General features: G+C 46.7%; 2 annotated features.

The window, feature by feature from the left end:
- Window positions 5,487–6,402: an enhancer, noted in NCBI's record as "H3K27ac hESC enhancer chr17:19384743-19385658 (GRCh37/hg19 assembly coordinates)". NCBI's record gives its function as "activates a minimal SCP1, AML or CMV promoter by ChIP-STARR-seq in naive H9 embryonic stem cells {active_cell/tissue: H9 hESC(naive)}" and the evidence as "EXISTENCE:reporter gene assay evidence [ECO:0000049][PMID:30033119]".
- Window positions 6,403–7,316: an enhancer, noted in NCBI's record as "OCT4-NANOG-H3K27ac hESC enhancer chr17:19385659-19386572 (GRCh37/hg19 assembly coordinates)". NCBI's record gives its function as "activates a minimal SCP1, AML or CMV promoter by ChIP-STARR-seq in naive H9 embryonic stem cells {active_cell/tissue: H9 hESC(naive)}" and the evidence as "EXISTENCE:reporter gene assay evidence [ECO:0000049][PMID:30033119]".

Below are 16,042 nucleotides of genomic sequence, written 5' to 3' on the forward strand. Positions count from 1 at the left end.
AGATGTGGGGAGCGCCTCTGCCCCGCCGCCCCGTCTGGGATGTGAGGAGCGTCTCCGCCCGGCAGCCACCCCGTCCGGGAGGGAGGTGGGGGTCAGCCCCCCGCCCGGCCAGCTGCCCCGTCCGGGAGGGAGGTGGGGGGGTCAGCCCCCGGCCCGGCCAGCCGCCCCGTCCGGGAGGTGAGGGGCGCCTCTGCCCGGCCGCCCCTACTGGGAAGTGAGGAGCCCCTCTGCCCGGCCACCACCCCGTCTGGGAGGTGTACCCAACAGCTCATTGAGAACGGGCCATGATGACAATGGCGGTTTGGTGGAATAGAAAGGGGGGAAAGGCGGGGAAAAGATTGAGAAATCGGATGGTTGCTGTGTCTGTGTAGAAAGTAGAAGACATGGGAGACTTTTTTTTTGTTCTGTACTAAGAAAAATTCTTCTGCCTTGGGATCCTGTTGATCTATGACCTTACCCCCAACCCTGTGCTCTCTGAAACATGTGCTGTGTCCACTCAGGGTTAAATGGATTAAGGGTGGTGCAAGATGTGCTTTGTTAAACAGATGCTTGAAGGCAGCATGCTCGTTAAGAGTCATCACCATTCCCTAATCTCAAGTACCCAGGGACACAAACACTGCGGAAGGCCGCAGGGTCCTCTGCCTAGGAAAACCAGAGACCTTTGTTCACTTGTTTATCTGCTGACCTTCCCTCCACTATTGTCCTATGACCCTGCCAAATCCCCCTCTGCGAGAAACACCCAAGAATGATCAATAAAAAAATAAATAAAAATAAAAATAAAAATAAAAATCCCACGCTATTCCAAGACTGTTGGATGCTGACTTCCCTTTCCTAGACTTTATTGTGAAAGGGTGTTGGATTTTGTCAAATGCTTTTTCCATGTCTATTGGATTTTTTAGATTCTATTGATATGGTGTCTTACATTAATTGATTTTGGGATTTTAAACCAGCCTGATATTCCCTGGACAAATCCCACTTAGGCATGTCATATAGCTCTTTTTACATTTTGCTGAATGTGGTTTGCTCTGGATTTTGTTGAGGATTTTTTTCCTCTATATTTAGATTAGACATTGATCTGTAGTTTGCTTTTCTTGTGATATCTTTGATTTGGGTAGCAGGGTAATACTGGCCTCATAGAATGAGCTAGGAAATGTTCCCTCTTCTTCTGTCTTTTGGAAGAGTTTGTAAAGAATTTATATTACTTCTTTAAATGTTCAGGAGAATTTTCCTGTAAAGCCCTCTGGGACTAGGCTTTCCTTTGTGGGTAGTTTACTAATTCAATCTCTTGTTATAAGTTTATTCATATTTTCTGTTTCTTGTGTCAGTTTTGGTAATTTGTGTGTCTCTAAGAATTTGCCCATTTCATCTAACTTACCTAATTTGTTAGCACTTAAGTGTTCGTAGTATTCCTTCATAATCCTTTTTGTTGGTAGTAACGTCCCCATTCATTCTAGTCCTTCATTTCTAATTCTAGAATGGAGAAGAATATGTGTTCTACTGTTGTTGGGTGGAGTGTTCTAAATGTGTCTATTAGTTGATTCATAATGATGCTCAAGCCTTCTATTTTCTTCTTGCTCTTCTAATTGTTCTATCTATTAAAAGTGGGTGGAGCCGGGCACAGTGGCTCACGCCTGTAATCCCAACACCTTGGGAGGCTGAGGTGGGCAGATCACCTGAGGTCAGGTGTTCAAGACCAGCCTGGTTAACGTGGAGAAACCCCGTCTCTACTAAAAATACAAAATTAGCCGGGTATGGTGGCGCATACCTGTAATCCCACCTACTCTGGAGGCTGAGGCAGGAGAATCTCTTGAACCCAGGAGGTGGAGGTTGCAGTGAGCCGAGATCTCACCATTGCTCTCCAGCCTGGGCAACGAGAACGAAACTCCGTCTCAATAAATAAATAAATTAATTAATTAATTAAATGTGGGGTACTGAAGTCTCCAACTATTATTAACAGCTTTATATTTATCCCTTCAATTCATGTATTTTGGGACTCTGTTGCTAGGTACATATATTATTTATAATTGTTATTCTTCTGGATGAATTTTGTCAATACAGATGCTCCTCAACTTAAACAATGGGATTACATCCTGATAAGCTTATTGTAAGTTGAAAATTTGGTACGTTGAAAATGCATTTAATATACTGAACCTACTAAACATCACAGTTTAGCCTAGCCTATCTTAAACAAGCTCAGAACACTTACATTAGCCTAGAGTTGGACAAAATCATCTAACACAAAGCCTATTTTATAATAAAGTGTTGAATATCTCATGTAATTTATTGAATATTGTACTGAAAGTGAAAAACAGGGCCTCTAATCCGCGGCTCTGGCCAGGCCCACCGTGCCCTGCACTGGGGGTCCTGGCAGCCACTAAATATTTTTGTTTAATTTTTTTAAAAATCAAAAGTATGAAGTATGGTTTCTACTGAATGTGTCCTGCTTTCCCACCATCATAAACTTGAAAATTTTATCCAAATCATTTTAGTCGGGGACCATCTGTATGTAATGTTCCAATTTGTCTGTGGTAAAGTTAGTTTGTTTTGTTTGGTTGGTTTTGGTTTTTTTGAGACAGGGTCTTGGTCTGCCACCCAGGCTAGAGTGAAGTGTGTGACCATAGCTCACTGTAACTGTGAACTCCTGGGCTCAAGCAATCTTCCTGCCTCAGCCCTTTTTCTGGGGCAGGTGTTTCGGGGGACAGGATCTTGCTCTGTTGCCCAGGCTGGAGTGCAGTGGTGCAATCTTGGCTCACTGCAACCTCCGCCTCCCAGTTTCAAGCGATTCTTATGCCTCAGCCTCTTGAGTAGCTGGGATTACAGGCACATGCCACCACTCCCAGCTAATTTTTGTATTTTTGTGGAGATGGGGTTTCGTCATATTGGCCAGGGTGGTCTCGAACTCCTGACCTCAAGTGATCCACCTGCCTCAGCCTCCAAAGTGCTCGGATTACAGGCGTGAACCACTGCGCCTGGCCTATAAAGAATAACTTCTGACATTTTGCTATTTGTTTTCCATATGCCCTACATCTCTCTCCTCCTTCAATTAGTTCATTAACTGCGGTTTCTTGTGTTTGATTTTTTCTAGAGTATTTTTTGTTGTTGTATCTACCAACTTAGCACATTTCAAGTCTTTAATATACTATTGTTAACTACATTCACATTGCTGTACATTAGATCCACATCCTCACTAACATGTTCTTTTGTCTTTTTCATAATAGCCATTTTAACAGGTGTGAGGTGATACCTAATTGTGGGTTTGATTTGTATTTCCCTAATGATTGGTGGTGTTGAGTGCCCTTTCATATACCTACTGGCTACTGTATGTATGTCTTCTTTTTTTTTTTTTTTTTTGAGATGGAGTCTCACTCTGTCACCCAGGCTGGAGTACAGAGGTATGATCTCAGGTCACTGCAACCCCCACCTTTGGGGCCCAAGCAATTCTCCTGCCTCAGCCTCCCATGTAGCTGGGAAAACAGGTATGTCCCACCACACTGGCTAATTTTTGTATTTTCAGTAGAGACAGGGTTTTACCATGTTGGCCAGGCTGGTCCAACTCCTGAGCTCAAGGGATCCATCTGCCTGCCTTGGCCTTCAACAGTGCTGGGATATAGGCATGAGCCACCATGCCTGGCCTGTATGTCTTCTTCTGAGAAATGTCTATTCAGGTCTTTTGCCCATTTAGAAACTGAATTGTGGCCAGGCACGATGGCTCACGCCTGTAATCCCAGCACTTTGGGAGGCCAAGGCGGGTGGATAGTCTGAGGTCAGGAGTTCAAGACCAGCCTGGCCAATATGGTGAAATTATCTCTACTTAAAAAATAAAAAAATTAGCCAGGCACTGGTAATCCCAACTACTCGGAAGGCTTGAACCAACTACAGGAGAATCGCTTGAACCTGGGAGGTGGAGGTTCCGGTGAGCCAAGATCATGTCACTGTACTCCAGCCTGGGCAACAGAGCAAGACTCCATCTCAAAAATAATAAATTAAAAAATTAAAATTGTGTTATTTGGGTTTTTTTGTTTATTTGGCTGAGTTGTATGAGTTCCTTATATATTTTGGATATTTATTTACCCCTTATCAGATGCATGGTTTTCAAATACTTTCTCTCATCCCATAGGTTGCCTTTTCCACTCTTTTGTTTCCTTTGCTGTGCAGAAGCTTTTCAGTTTGATGCAGTCCACTTGTCTATTTTTGCCTTTTTGCTTGTGCTTTTAGTGTCGTGTCCAAAAAAATCATTACCCAGGTCAATGTCAAGAAGCTTACCCCTGTGTTTTCTTCTTCTAATAGTTTTGTAGTCTCCAGTCTTAGGTTTTTGTCTTTAATCTATTTTTAGTTGATTTTTGTACATAATGTGAGGTAAAGTTCCAGTTTCATTCTTCTGCATGTGGATATCCAGTTTTCCCAACACTGAAGAGATAATCCTTTCCTCACTGTGTTTTCTTGGCATCCTTGTCAAAGATAAGTTGACCATAGATTAGTGGATTTATTTCTGGGTTTTCTATTCTGTTCTATAGGTCTATATGTCTGTTTTATGCCAGTACCATACTATTTTGATTAATGTAGCTTTGTAATATATTTTGGGTTTTTGTTGTTGTTTTGTTTTTGAGATAATGTCTTGTTCTGTCACCCAGGCTGGAATGCAGAGCTGTGATCATTGTAACCTCCAACTCCTGGGCTCAAGCAATCCTCCCACCTCAGCCTCCTGGGTAGCTAGGACTGTAGGTGCATGTCACTATGCCCAGTTTAAATTTTTTGCAGAGACAGGATCTTTCTATGTTGCCCAGGCTGGTTATGAACTCTTGTAATATATTTTGAAAACAAGAATTGTGATGCCTCTAGCTTTTCTTCTTGCTCAAGGATGCTTTGGCTATTTGAGGTCTTTTGTGGTTCCATATGAATTTTAGGATATTTTTCTATTTCTGTAAAGAATGCCATTGAGGCTGGGTGCAGTGGCTCATGCCTGTAATCCCAGCACTTTGGAAGGCCAAGGTGGGCGGATCACCTGAGGTCAGGAGTTTGAGACCAGCCTGGCCAACATGGTGAAACCCCGTCTCTACTAAAGATACAAAAAATTAGCTGGGTGTGGTGGCGTGCACCTGTAATCCCGGCTACTTGGGAGGCTGGAGCAGGAGAATCGCTTGAACCCAGGAGGCAAAGGTTGCAATGAGCCAAGATCGTGTCATCTAGGCTACAAGAGTGAAACTTCATCTCAAAAAAATAAATAAATAAAAATAAAAAATAGGCTGGGCGGCCGGGCACAGTGGCTCATGCCTGTAATCTCAGCACTTTGGGAGGCCGAGGTGGGTGGATCACGAGGTCAGGAGATTGAGACCATCCTGGCTAACATGGTGAAACCCCGTCTCTACTAAAAATACCAAAAAAAAAAATTAGCCAGGTGTGGTGGTAGGCGCCTGTAATCCCAGCTACTCAGGAGGCTGAGGCAGGAGAATGGCGTGAGCCCGGGAGGCGGAGCTTGCAGTGAGCCGAGATTGCGCCACTGCACTCCAGCCTGGGCAACTGAGCAAGACTGTGTCTAAAAAAAAAAAAAAAAAAAATAGGCTGGGCGCAGTGGCTCATGCCTATAATCCCAGAACTTTGGGAGGCCAAGGCAGGCGGATCACCTGAATTCAGGAGTTCGAGACCAGCCTGACCAACATGGAGAAACCTCATCTCTACTAAAATAAATAAATAAATACATACATACATACATAAATAAATACAAAATTAGTCGAGTGTAGTGGCGCATGCCTGTAATCCCAGCTACTCGGGAGGCTGAGGCAGAAGAATCTCTTGAACCTGGGAGGTGGAGGTTGCAGTGAGCCGAGATCATGCCATTGCACTCCAACCTGAGTGACAAGAGTGAAACTCTGTCTCAAAAAAATAAAAGAAATACAATAAAAGAAAAAATAAATAAACTTTCCTCTCCTTAACCCACTCATGTGTATGTGTCGTTAATCTTCTCAGCATGAGATGACAAACTCCATCTCTACTAAAAATACAAAAATTAGCTGGGCATGGTGGTGCACGCCTGTAATCCCAGCACTTTGGGAGGCCAAGGTGGGTGGATCATCTGAGGTCAGGAGTTTGAGAACAGCCTGGCCAACATGGTGAAACCCCTTCTCTACTAAAGATACAAAAAATTAGCTGGGCACGGTGGCGCCCGCCTGTAATCCCGGCTACTTGGGAGGCTGGGGCAGGAGAATCGCTTGAACCTGAGAGGCAGAGGTTGCAGTGAGCCGAGGTCACACCATTGCACTCCAGCCTGGGTGACAGGGCGAGACTCTGTCTCAAAAAAAAAAAAAAAAAAAAACCCAACTCTTGCATGCAAGCCATCAGGGAGGTCGGGTCTTAAGCATGAGCTGCCGGATTCTCCTTATTTGGCACCCTGCAAATAAATGCCCTCCCTCCTTTCTCCCTATGCAAACCTCAGTACAGATGTTTGACCTCACTGTGCCAGGCAAGCAGACTCCAATTTGGTCCTTTAACACTATTCTCTATTTGACTTATTTATGTTCTAACCTTTATTATTATTTCTGCTAACTTTGATTTTAGTTTGTTCTTTTTCTAGTTCCTTTAGGTGTTACATTAATTGCTTATTTAAGACCTTTCTTCTTTTTTTCATATAGGCATTTATCACCACAAACTTTCCTCTTAGTATGTTGTGTTACGTTTTTTTATGTGTCTTGAGATACTGTAAACCAAAAATAAAATTCTAAGCCCCACAACTGACTGAATGGATCCCTCCTCTCAGCCAAGGGGATTCCAAACTAAACTTGAGAAACTAGTTCAGGCCATTATGGAAGAGGGTTGGACATGCCTCATTATGACCTCCTCCCTTTGGAATTCAGGCACAACTCCCAGCATTAACATTAAAACAGAGATCTTAAGACTGACAAAACAGTCTTTGCAGCAATAAAACTTTGACACCAAATTCTAACCTGACCCTAGTATAGCATCACATGACAGATAGCAGGCCCTGAAAGAAATTAAAATATTTTACTTCAAAATATATTTCTTTGCCATATTTTGAAATGGCCCTGCAATGCTGTCTCTTGTGGGGAAATTTCTCATTCTGTAAAGAATCCCCTTCCTTTTCCAGGTCTTTTTCTGATCCTGAAGAAATTAGCTGAGGGTCTAGCACCTTTTAAAGGTCTGAATAGGAAACATTTACCATCTATTGCCTCTACAGGTAGCCACCTATGAGACTTCATCTACATAATAAGAACCTTGGTCTCCAGGACCTCTTTTTTTTCTTTTTTTTTTTTTTTGAGATGGCGTCTCACTCTGTTACCCAGGCTGGAATGCAGTGGCTTGATCTCAGCTCACTGCTGCAACCTCCACCTCCTGGGTTCAAGCAATTCTCCTGTCTCAGCCTCCCAAGTAGCTGGGACTACAGGCACATACCACCATGCTGGGCTAATTTTTGTCTTTTTAGTAGAGATGGGCTTTCACCTAATTGGTCAGGCTTGTCTCAAACTCCTGACCTCAGGTGATCCACCTCGGCCTCCCAAAGTGCTGGGATTATAGGCGTGAGCCACCACGACCAGCCAGTCTCCAGGACCTATCTTAACCTGGAGTCTCCTTTCTATTGATTCCAGGTCTTTGGATAATAACTCTTTCAACCAATTGCCAATCAGAAAACATTTTAATCCACCTATGACCTGGAAGTGCCCCATTTTGAGTTGTCCTGCCTTTCTAGACCAAACCGATGTATACCTTACAAGTACTGATTGGTGTCTGTCTATAAATTCTGTCCCCCTAAAATGCATAAAACCAAGCTGTAACCTAACCAACTTGGGTACATGTTCTCAGGGCCTCCTGGGGCTGTATCATGGGTCATGGTCCCCACATTTGGCTCAGAATAAATTTCTTCAAATATTTTACAGAGTTTGGGTTTTTCATCAGCAACATATTTTTAAATTTTTATTTATTTTTAGATGGAATCTCTGTCACCCAGGCTGGAGTGCAGTGGTGCCATCTCAGCTCACTGCAACCCCGCCTCCTGGGTTCAAGTAATTCTCCTGCCTCAGCCTCCTGAGTAACTGGGACTACAGGCATGTGCCACCATGCTCAGCTAATTTTTGTATTTTTAGTAGAGACAGGGTTTCACTATGTTAATCAGGCTGGTCTCAAACTCCTGACCTCAAGTGATCTGTTTGCCTCGGCCTCCCAAAGTGCAGGGATTACAGGCGTGAGCCACTGCGCCTGGCCTTCAACAATATTTTTAAATTCCCTTTTGATTTATTTGACTTGGTGATTATTCAAGGGTATGTTGCTTAATCTCCATGTATTTGTGACTTTTCCCATTTTCTTGCTGTTATTGATTTCTAGTTTCATTTCATTGTGGTCAGAAAAGATGCTTGTAATGATTTCAACCTTCTTAAATGTGTTAAGACTTGTTTTGTGATCTGACATGTGATCTATTCTGGAAAGTGTTCCATGTATGCTTGAGAAGAATTGTATTCTGCAGTTAAGTGGAGAGCTCTGCGTGCGTCTGTTAGGTACTGATCTATGATCTATAGTGTTGTTAGAGCCAGCTTTTTTTTTTTTTTTTTTTTTTGGAGGCAGAGTTTCAATCATTGCCCAGGCTGGATTGCAGTGGCGGAATCTCGGCTCACTGCAACCTCCGCCTCCCGGGTACAAGTGATTCTCCTGCCTCAGCCTCCTGAGTAGCTGGGATTACAGGCAAGCGCCACCACGCCCAGCTAACTTTGTATTTTTAGTAGAGACAGGGCTTCTCCATGTTGGTAAGGCTGGTCTCGAACTCCCGACCTCAGGTGATCCGCCTGCTTCGGCCTCCCAAAGTGCTGGGATTACAGGTGTGTGCCACCGCGCACGGCCTGAGCCAGCTTTTTATAGGTTTTCTGTATGGATGCCCTATGCACTAATGTATGTGGGGTATTGAAGTCCCCTCCTATTATTGTATTACTGTTAATTACTCCCTTTAGATCTGTCAAAACTTGTATTATATATTGAAGTACTCTGATATTGAGCTTATATATTTATAATTATTATATATGCCTACTGAATTGGCCTTTTATCATTATACGATGACCCCTTGGCTGTCACTCTGCTCTTCCATTTACTGATATGCTTGCACTCACGTGGTTTTATGCTACCAGCTGGTCTCAAGGGTTTTGGGGCCTGCTCATTGCCATTGCACAGGCATCTCCTACCTCTGCCCCGGCCCTCTGAAGAGAGGTACTCCAACATTCCTGTGGTGCTGGGATTCCTCCCCAGCACATGCCTGGCTGCTTTGGTAAGTGGTGAATCTTCTGGGGCCTCTGTGGTGTGACCTCACCTGGTGGGTTTACCAGCCTTACACAGCATCATCCATCTGAGCATGCCCATGTCACTGAAACTTCTCATCCCTTCTCCCACTGTCTCTGGCAATGCAGGCCTTTTTAACTTCACTTAGTTTGGGTAATTCCTTTTACCATGCTTCTAGGTGCCAATATAGTTACATGGTTTGTTTAGTTTTGTTTTTTTTGAGACAGAGTCTTGCTCTGTCGCCAGGCTGGAGTGCAGTGGCGTGATCTTGGCTTACTGCAACCTCTGCCTTCCAGGTTCAAGCGATTCTTTTGCCTCAGCCTCCAAAGTAGCTGGGACTACAGGTGTGCACCACTAAGCCCAGCTAATTTTTGTATTTTTAGTAGAGACAGGGTTTCACCATGTTGGCCAGGATGGTCTCGATCTCTTGATCTCGTGATCCGCCCGCCTCAGCCTCCCAAAGTGCTGGGATTACAGGTGTGAGCCACCGCGCCCAGCCAAAGTTACATGTTTGTACCAACTTCTGGAGTCCGTTTCAGGATGACAAATCTTATATCCCGGGGGAGTGCTTCCAAATTGAGGAAGTTCTCATCTTCCAAATTTGTTTCTCCCTGCCCTTGACTCAGGCCCTCAGATCCAGCCCCATGAGGACTCTCCCCATCCCTGCTGGTCCATGGAGACTAGGTCCTGTAGCTTCTTTGGAGCAAAGGATCATCCCTCCCTTTTCAGACTAGCACATACCCAGCTGGGACACACTGTGACTTAACCCTCGTTAGTGGCCTACTGGCCAGATTGTGAGGTGGAGGAAGAGCTGAGGGGGGTGATGTGGTTTTGCAGGGGAGTGGCCTCTGCACTGCCTACAAGCGAGAGAAGAATGCTTCCTAAATAGGGAGGGGGGAGCCAGTTCGGCAGACTTGGAGGATTTGGGAAAATCTGGTGATTCAGGATTTGAGGGTGCATCTAGCCCCATCCATGTTTCATAGTCCTCATTGTTTTCCAACCAGCTCATGACCTTGGTGTGGCAGGCCTGTTCAGATGGGGAGTTCCTCTTCTTATCTTTTTTATTTTTATTTTTATTTTTTTTTGAGACAGAGTTTTGCTCTTTTTGCCCAGGCTGGAGTACAATGGCGTGATCTCAGCCCATTGCAACCTCCGCCTCCAGGTTCAAGCGATACTCCTGCCTCAGCCTCCCATGTAGCTGGGATTACAGGCATGCGCCACCACGCCCAGCTAATTTTTTTGTATTTTTAGTGGAGATGGTGTTTCTCCATGTTGGTCAGGCTGGTCTCGAACTCTCCACCTCAGGTGATCCTCCCACCTCGGCCTCCCAAAGTGCTTGGCCACCGTGCCCCACCGGAGTTCCCCCTCTTTGGGCGCAGTTACTCGCAATTAAGACCTGGGCCTGGGCCTGGGCCTCAGCTTTCTCCATCCTTCAGCCACTTTACATGCTCCCAAGGAAACCCTGTTACTTTCTCATTTAGCTTTAAATTGTTGATTAATCAGGCTCTGCTTAGCTGCAGCCACTCCAGTCCCACTCTCCTGACAATGACTGACTCCCCCACATTCATCATTTGCTGGTACATTCCCTTCCACCTCTGCATCTGCCAGCAGTGACAGTTTGAACAATAGTACCTCTGCTCTGTGCGGGGGCATGTACCCGCTCCATCTACCCCCAGCAAAAGGATCCTTATCAGCAGCTAGGCAGTGGGTGATCCAGAGCCAGAATCCCATCTTAGCATCTTCTTCCTCAGACCCCTCCTGACCCAGCGGTCACAGGTTGGGCTCTCCAGAAGCAGTGTCTGAGAGGGAGGTTAGTGTGCAGGTTTCTTAGGGCGTGCCCTGTGATCGCCACCTGCAGAAGAGAAGAGAACGAAGCAGGATCAGGAAGAGGCAGAAACTGGCTGCATTCAGCGAAGGCCTCAGCCAACCCCGTATGTTTATCCCCATCCTGGACGTGTGTTGCTGAAGGAAATGAGAGTGTGGTTGGGTGGAGGCACGTTTGGAGAGGCCTGACGGCTGAAGGCTGTCTGCCAACAGCATTCCCAGCAGTGTGGCCAAGAAATGTTTCTTTTCCAAAGGGGATCTGGATGGTCAATTGCAGTGTCCCCTTTAGAGGGAGTGGAGGAAAAGTGAGACCCATGAGAAGCTGGAAAAACCAGCTGTCATCATCACTCTCATCATTGTTCCTGTTGTTGCTTTTAACCTGCTCCTTCTATTGCTACCGGAAGTGCTGCAGGGGTTTTGGTATCTACATAGGGCTCAGTCGGCAAGAGTTCAGAATAAGTAGGGCCCTCTAGGTCACTCGGCCTCCTCCAGCAAAGATGTTAATCTGGAGACCGGGAAAGCTGGAAGGGTCTGGAGACTATTCTCATAGTTCACAAAGCTAGCTGCATACTGGAATCACCTGGGAACATTTTTTCTTTTTCTTTCTTTTTTTTTTTTTTTGATGGAGTCTCACTCTGTTGTCCAGGCTGGGGTGCAGTGGCACAATCTCGGCTCACTTCAACCTCCGCCTCCCCAGTTCAAGCGATTCTCGTGTCTCAGCCTCCCGAGGAGCTGGGACTACAGGCGCCTGCCACCATGCCCGGCTAATTTTTTGTATTTTTACTAGAGATGGGGTTTCACCATGTTGGCCAGGCTGGTCTTGAACTCCTGACCTCAGGTAATCCACCTGCCTCTGCCTCCCAAAGTGCTAGGATTACAGGCGTGAGCCACTGCGCTTGGCCGGGAATATTTTTTAAACTATGTCTGGCTCTACCCTCATAAAATTATGAAATGATTTTAATGGTCTGGAGTTGTAGTTGGGATATTCAGTTTTATCTTGTTTTTTGAAACTCCCCAAGTACTTATAACGTACAGGCTGACAAGAACACCTGATTCAATCAGTTCTCTCTGCCCCGACTTTACAGATGCAGAAACCACGACCAAGAGAGAAGAAGAGATTTGTCCAAGAACACATGGTAGGTAGTGGGAGGAGCCAAACCAGAGTCCTAAACCTTGACCCATTTTCCCACCATTCAACACTGCTCCTCGGGCTGAGCAGGGCCTGGTCCTGCAATGAGCTACAAACAGTCCGTGGGATGACAACTGCACAACTTTCATATTACATCAGCACTTAGTCTGTGGAGGTCGCAGGGAATTCTCGGTATAAGGCTAGGCTCAAGGAGTTCCTAGTCAGGAAAAGCTCCCCGGCGTGGGCTTGAGTAAAGGCCAGGTTGGAATTCAAAAGTTGGAGGACAGTAGAACTTCCATTCTGACTGGTGGGCCAGGAGAGAAGGGGTCTCAGCAGGGGTGTATGGAGACGAGTGTGACAGATGCAGGGAGAGTGGTGGGCCGCAGGAAAAGGGAAGCCAGACTGGGAGGGAGAGGCCAGGCAGTGCCATGAAACCCCAGCCAGCAAACCCAGGGCTATGGATGTGTTTGAGACTTGGACCAGAGTCAATGGGGACTTGGAAGCTGCTTGAGCCTGGGAGGCACCTCGCCAGAGGAGAGCTTAGAACATGGCTTCTGGGAGCAGGCATGGTGGTCAGGTAGACCGAAGGCTGAGGCTTAGAGCAAGGAAAAGGCCACAGAGTCGCCCTTGTGTTCTGGGAGGGTGGGGCTAGGAGCCGCTCCAGCACTTGTCAGAGCTGCCGCCAACATTTATTATATTAGAGCCAGGCATGGTGGTAAGTGCTGTAGTCCCAGCTACTCAGGAGGCTGAGGCAGGAGGATCACTTGAGCCCAGGAGTTCAAGGCTTCAGTGAGCTGCGATCTGTGATCATGCCTGTGAGTAGCCACTGCATTCCAGCCTGGACGATATAGATAGCAAGACCACATCTCTAAAAAACAAATATAGAGTTCTGGCCGGGCGCAGTGGCTCATGCCTGTAATCCCAGCACTTTGGGAGGCCGACGTGGGCGGATCACAATGTCAGGAGATCGAGACCATCCTGGCTAACAAGGTGAAACCCCATCTCTACTAAAAACACAAAAAAATTAGCCGGGCGTGGTGGCGGGCGCCTGTAGTCCCAGCTACTCGGGAGGCTGAGGCAGGAGAATGGCGTGAACCCGGGTGGCGGAGCTTGCAGTGAGCAGAGATCGCGCCACTGCACTCCAGCCTGGGCGACAGAGCGAGACTCCATCTCAAAAAATATATATATAGAGAGAGAGAGAGAGAGAAAGAGAGAGAGAGAAAGAGAGAGAGAGAGAGAGAGAAAGAGAGAGAGAGAGAGTTCTGTTCTGCTCTGGGCTCTGCTCAGCCATGCCGTGGGACAGCCTTGCCTGCCCCTCCCCCTGCCAGCAGGAATCCGTGGCACAGGCACAGGCTACTAATGTGGGTGTTAACAAGAGTGAGCAGCACCAAACCCCTGCTGGGTGAGGGTTGGGGACAGCAGGTGTGACTGATACACTGGGCAATGATGCCTCCCCTCCTGTCTCTGGCCTCTGGGCCTGATGGGCTCCAGCCTAATCCCAGCACTTCCTTTCCGGATGCTTGAAGGGAAAGCCCCACAGCTCTTGGTGTGCTGCAGGCTCTTAGCCCAAATGCTCCCCTCCTGAACCCCCCACGGCTCAACATGGAACAGGGTCTGGCTAAATACTCCACCAGAGTAAGAGACGGAGAAAAATCCCGCCAGGCGAGCAGCACAAATGATGACTGGACAGCAAATGGCACAGGGAGAACAAATCTTAGAATGGATGGATCGAAGCCACCAAATAAGTATGACAAAAGACGAAAGCAGAGCAGGGAGCTGAACGCCCTGCCACACGGGAAAGTCACTGGCAAGAACAGCACTGAATCGTCTTCCATCTCCCAAACTCTTGATGCTTTTCCCTCTCTGTGTGTGTTTTGTCTGCACCCATGTCTGCACTTCCACTCCCCTGAGATTCAAATGAAGCTGGGGAAGAACAATGGGAAACATTTCTGAATAGGGGCTGTCTTGGCCTGTGTTGCTATAAATGAACACCTGAGACTGGATAATTTATAAAGAAAAAAATGTCGGCCGGGCGTGGTGGCTCATGCCTGTAATCCCAGCACTTTGGAAGGCCAAGGTGGGTGGATCACCTAAAGTCAGGAGTTAGAGAACAGCCTGACAAACATGGTGAAACCCCGTCTCTACTAAAAATACAAAAATTAGCTGGGGGTGGTGATGCCTGCCTGTAGTCCCTGATACTTGGGGGGCTGAGGCAGGAGAATTGCTTGAACTCAGGAGGTGGAAGCTGCAGTGAGCCAATATTGCACCACTACACCATGTTGGTCAGGCTGGTCTCAAACTCCTGATCTCGTGATCCACCCGCCTCGGCTTCCCAAAGTGCTAGGATTACGGGTGTGAGCCACCACACCCGGCCTTCCTTGCAGATTCTTTTGGTACATAGCTCCATATTTCTTTCTTTCTTTTTTTTTTTGAGACAGAGTCTTGCTCTGTCGCCCAGGCTAGAGTGCAGTAGTGCGATCTCGGCTCACTGCAAGCTCCGCCTCCCGGGTTGATGCCATTCTCCTGCCTCAGCCCCCCAAGTATCAGGGATTACAGGCAGGAGTAGATGGGACTACAGGCGCCCGCCACCACACCCAGCTAATTTTTTGTATTTTTAGTAGAGACGGGGTTTCACCATGTTGGCCAGGATGGTCTCGATCTCCTGACCTCGTGATCCGCCCGTCTTGGCCTCCCAAAGTGCTAGGATTACAGGCGTGAGCCACTGCGCCCGGTCTCATAGCTCCATATTTCAAAATAGGATGCTGTATTTTGCTCTTTCCTCCATCCCACTCCCCGCCACACATGTGCAACCTTCTCTGCCACTCCATCTTCCTCACAGAGTTTGGCGTGGGTTACCTTTCTGAGACCCAGCAAAGGTTGCTGATCTCCTTCTTTTATGGACACTTCCTTGGGATGTGTCATAGTCCTTGGTTTTCTTCTCATATCGAAGAATGGAAACACAGAGCTAGTTGGAAGGTTTGAATATGTAAAGGTTTCAGCATGCAAATTTCACGTTAGCGTGTTCTGTCGAGGCAGTGTCCTTGAGGACCCAGCCATAATTAGGCTTACGTCACAGGCCGATGCTAGGACATGGTGTAAAGTGAGTTTCCTGTTATCCCCACAGTGGCTGAGGTCACACTTAGTAATTATCCATGTGGGCAGAATATTTTTGTTGTTTAAGCTATACTCTTTTTTTTTTTTTTTGAGACAGAGTTTCTCTCTTGTTGCCCAGGCTGGAGTGCAATGGTGCAATCTCGGCTCACCACAACCTCCACCTCCCAGGTTCAAGCGATTCTCCTGCCTCAGCCTCCTGAGTAGCTGGGATTACAGGCACGTACCACCACGCCTGGCTAATTTTGTATTTTTAGTAGAGACGGGGTTTCTCCATGTTGAGGCTGGTCTTGAACTCCTGACCTCAGGTGATCCACCTGCCTCAGCCTCCCAAAGTGCTGGGATTACAGGCGTGAGCCACCACACCTGGCCAGTTTAAGCTAACTCTTACAGAAGAGTGCTCAGCTCATAGGGGATCCCTTTATACAAGAGATAAGAACCAAACAAAAAGGAATGAATGATTCAAAGTAGAATTTCAGATGCTGAAAAGGCAATGAAAAAGTAAAGAAGCACATGAGTTACAGTAGATGGATCTGCGTTCCAGCCTCAACAGTGGTATCCAGCAGCACAAAACCCTCTTCCTGTATGTTACGGGCTGAATTGTGTCCCCCGCCTCTCAATTCATATATTGACGTCCTAATCCCCAGCACCTCAGAATGTGACTGTATTTGGAACAAGGGCCATTATATCGGTGGGCCTTAACCCAAT

This window comes from Homo sapiens, chromosome 17 (genome assembly GCF_000001405.40).
Source record: "Homo sapiens chromosome 17, GRCh38.p14 Primary Assembly".
Taxonomy (NCBI): Eukaryota; Metazoa; Chordata; class Mammalia; order Primates; family Hominidae; genus Homo; species Homo sapiens.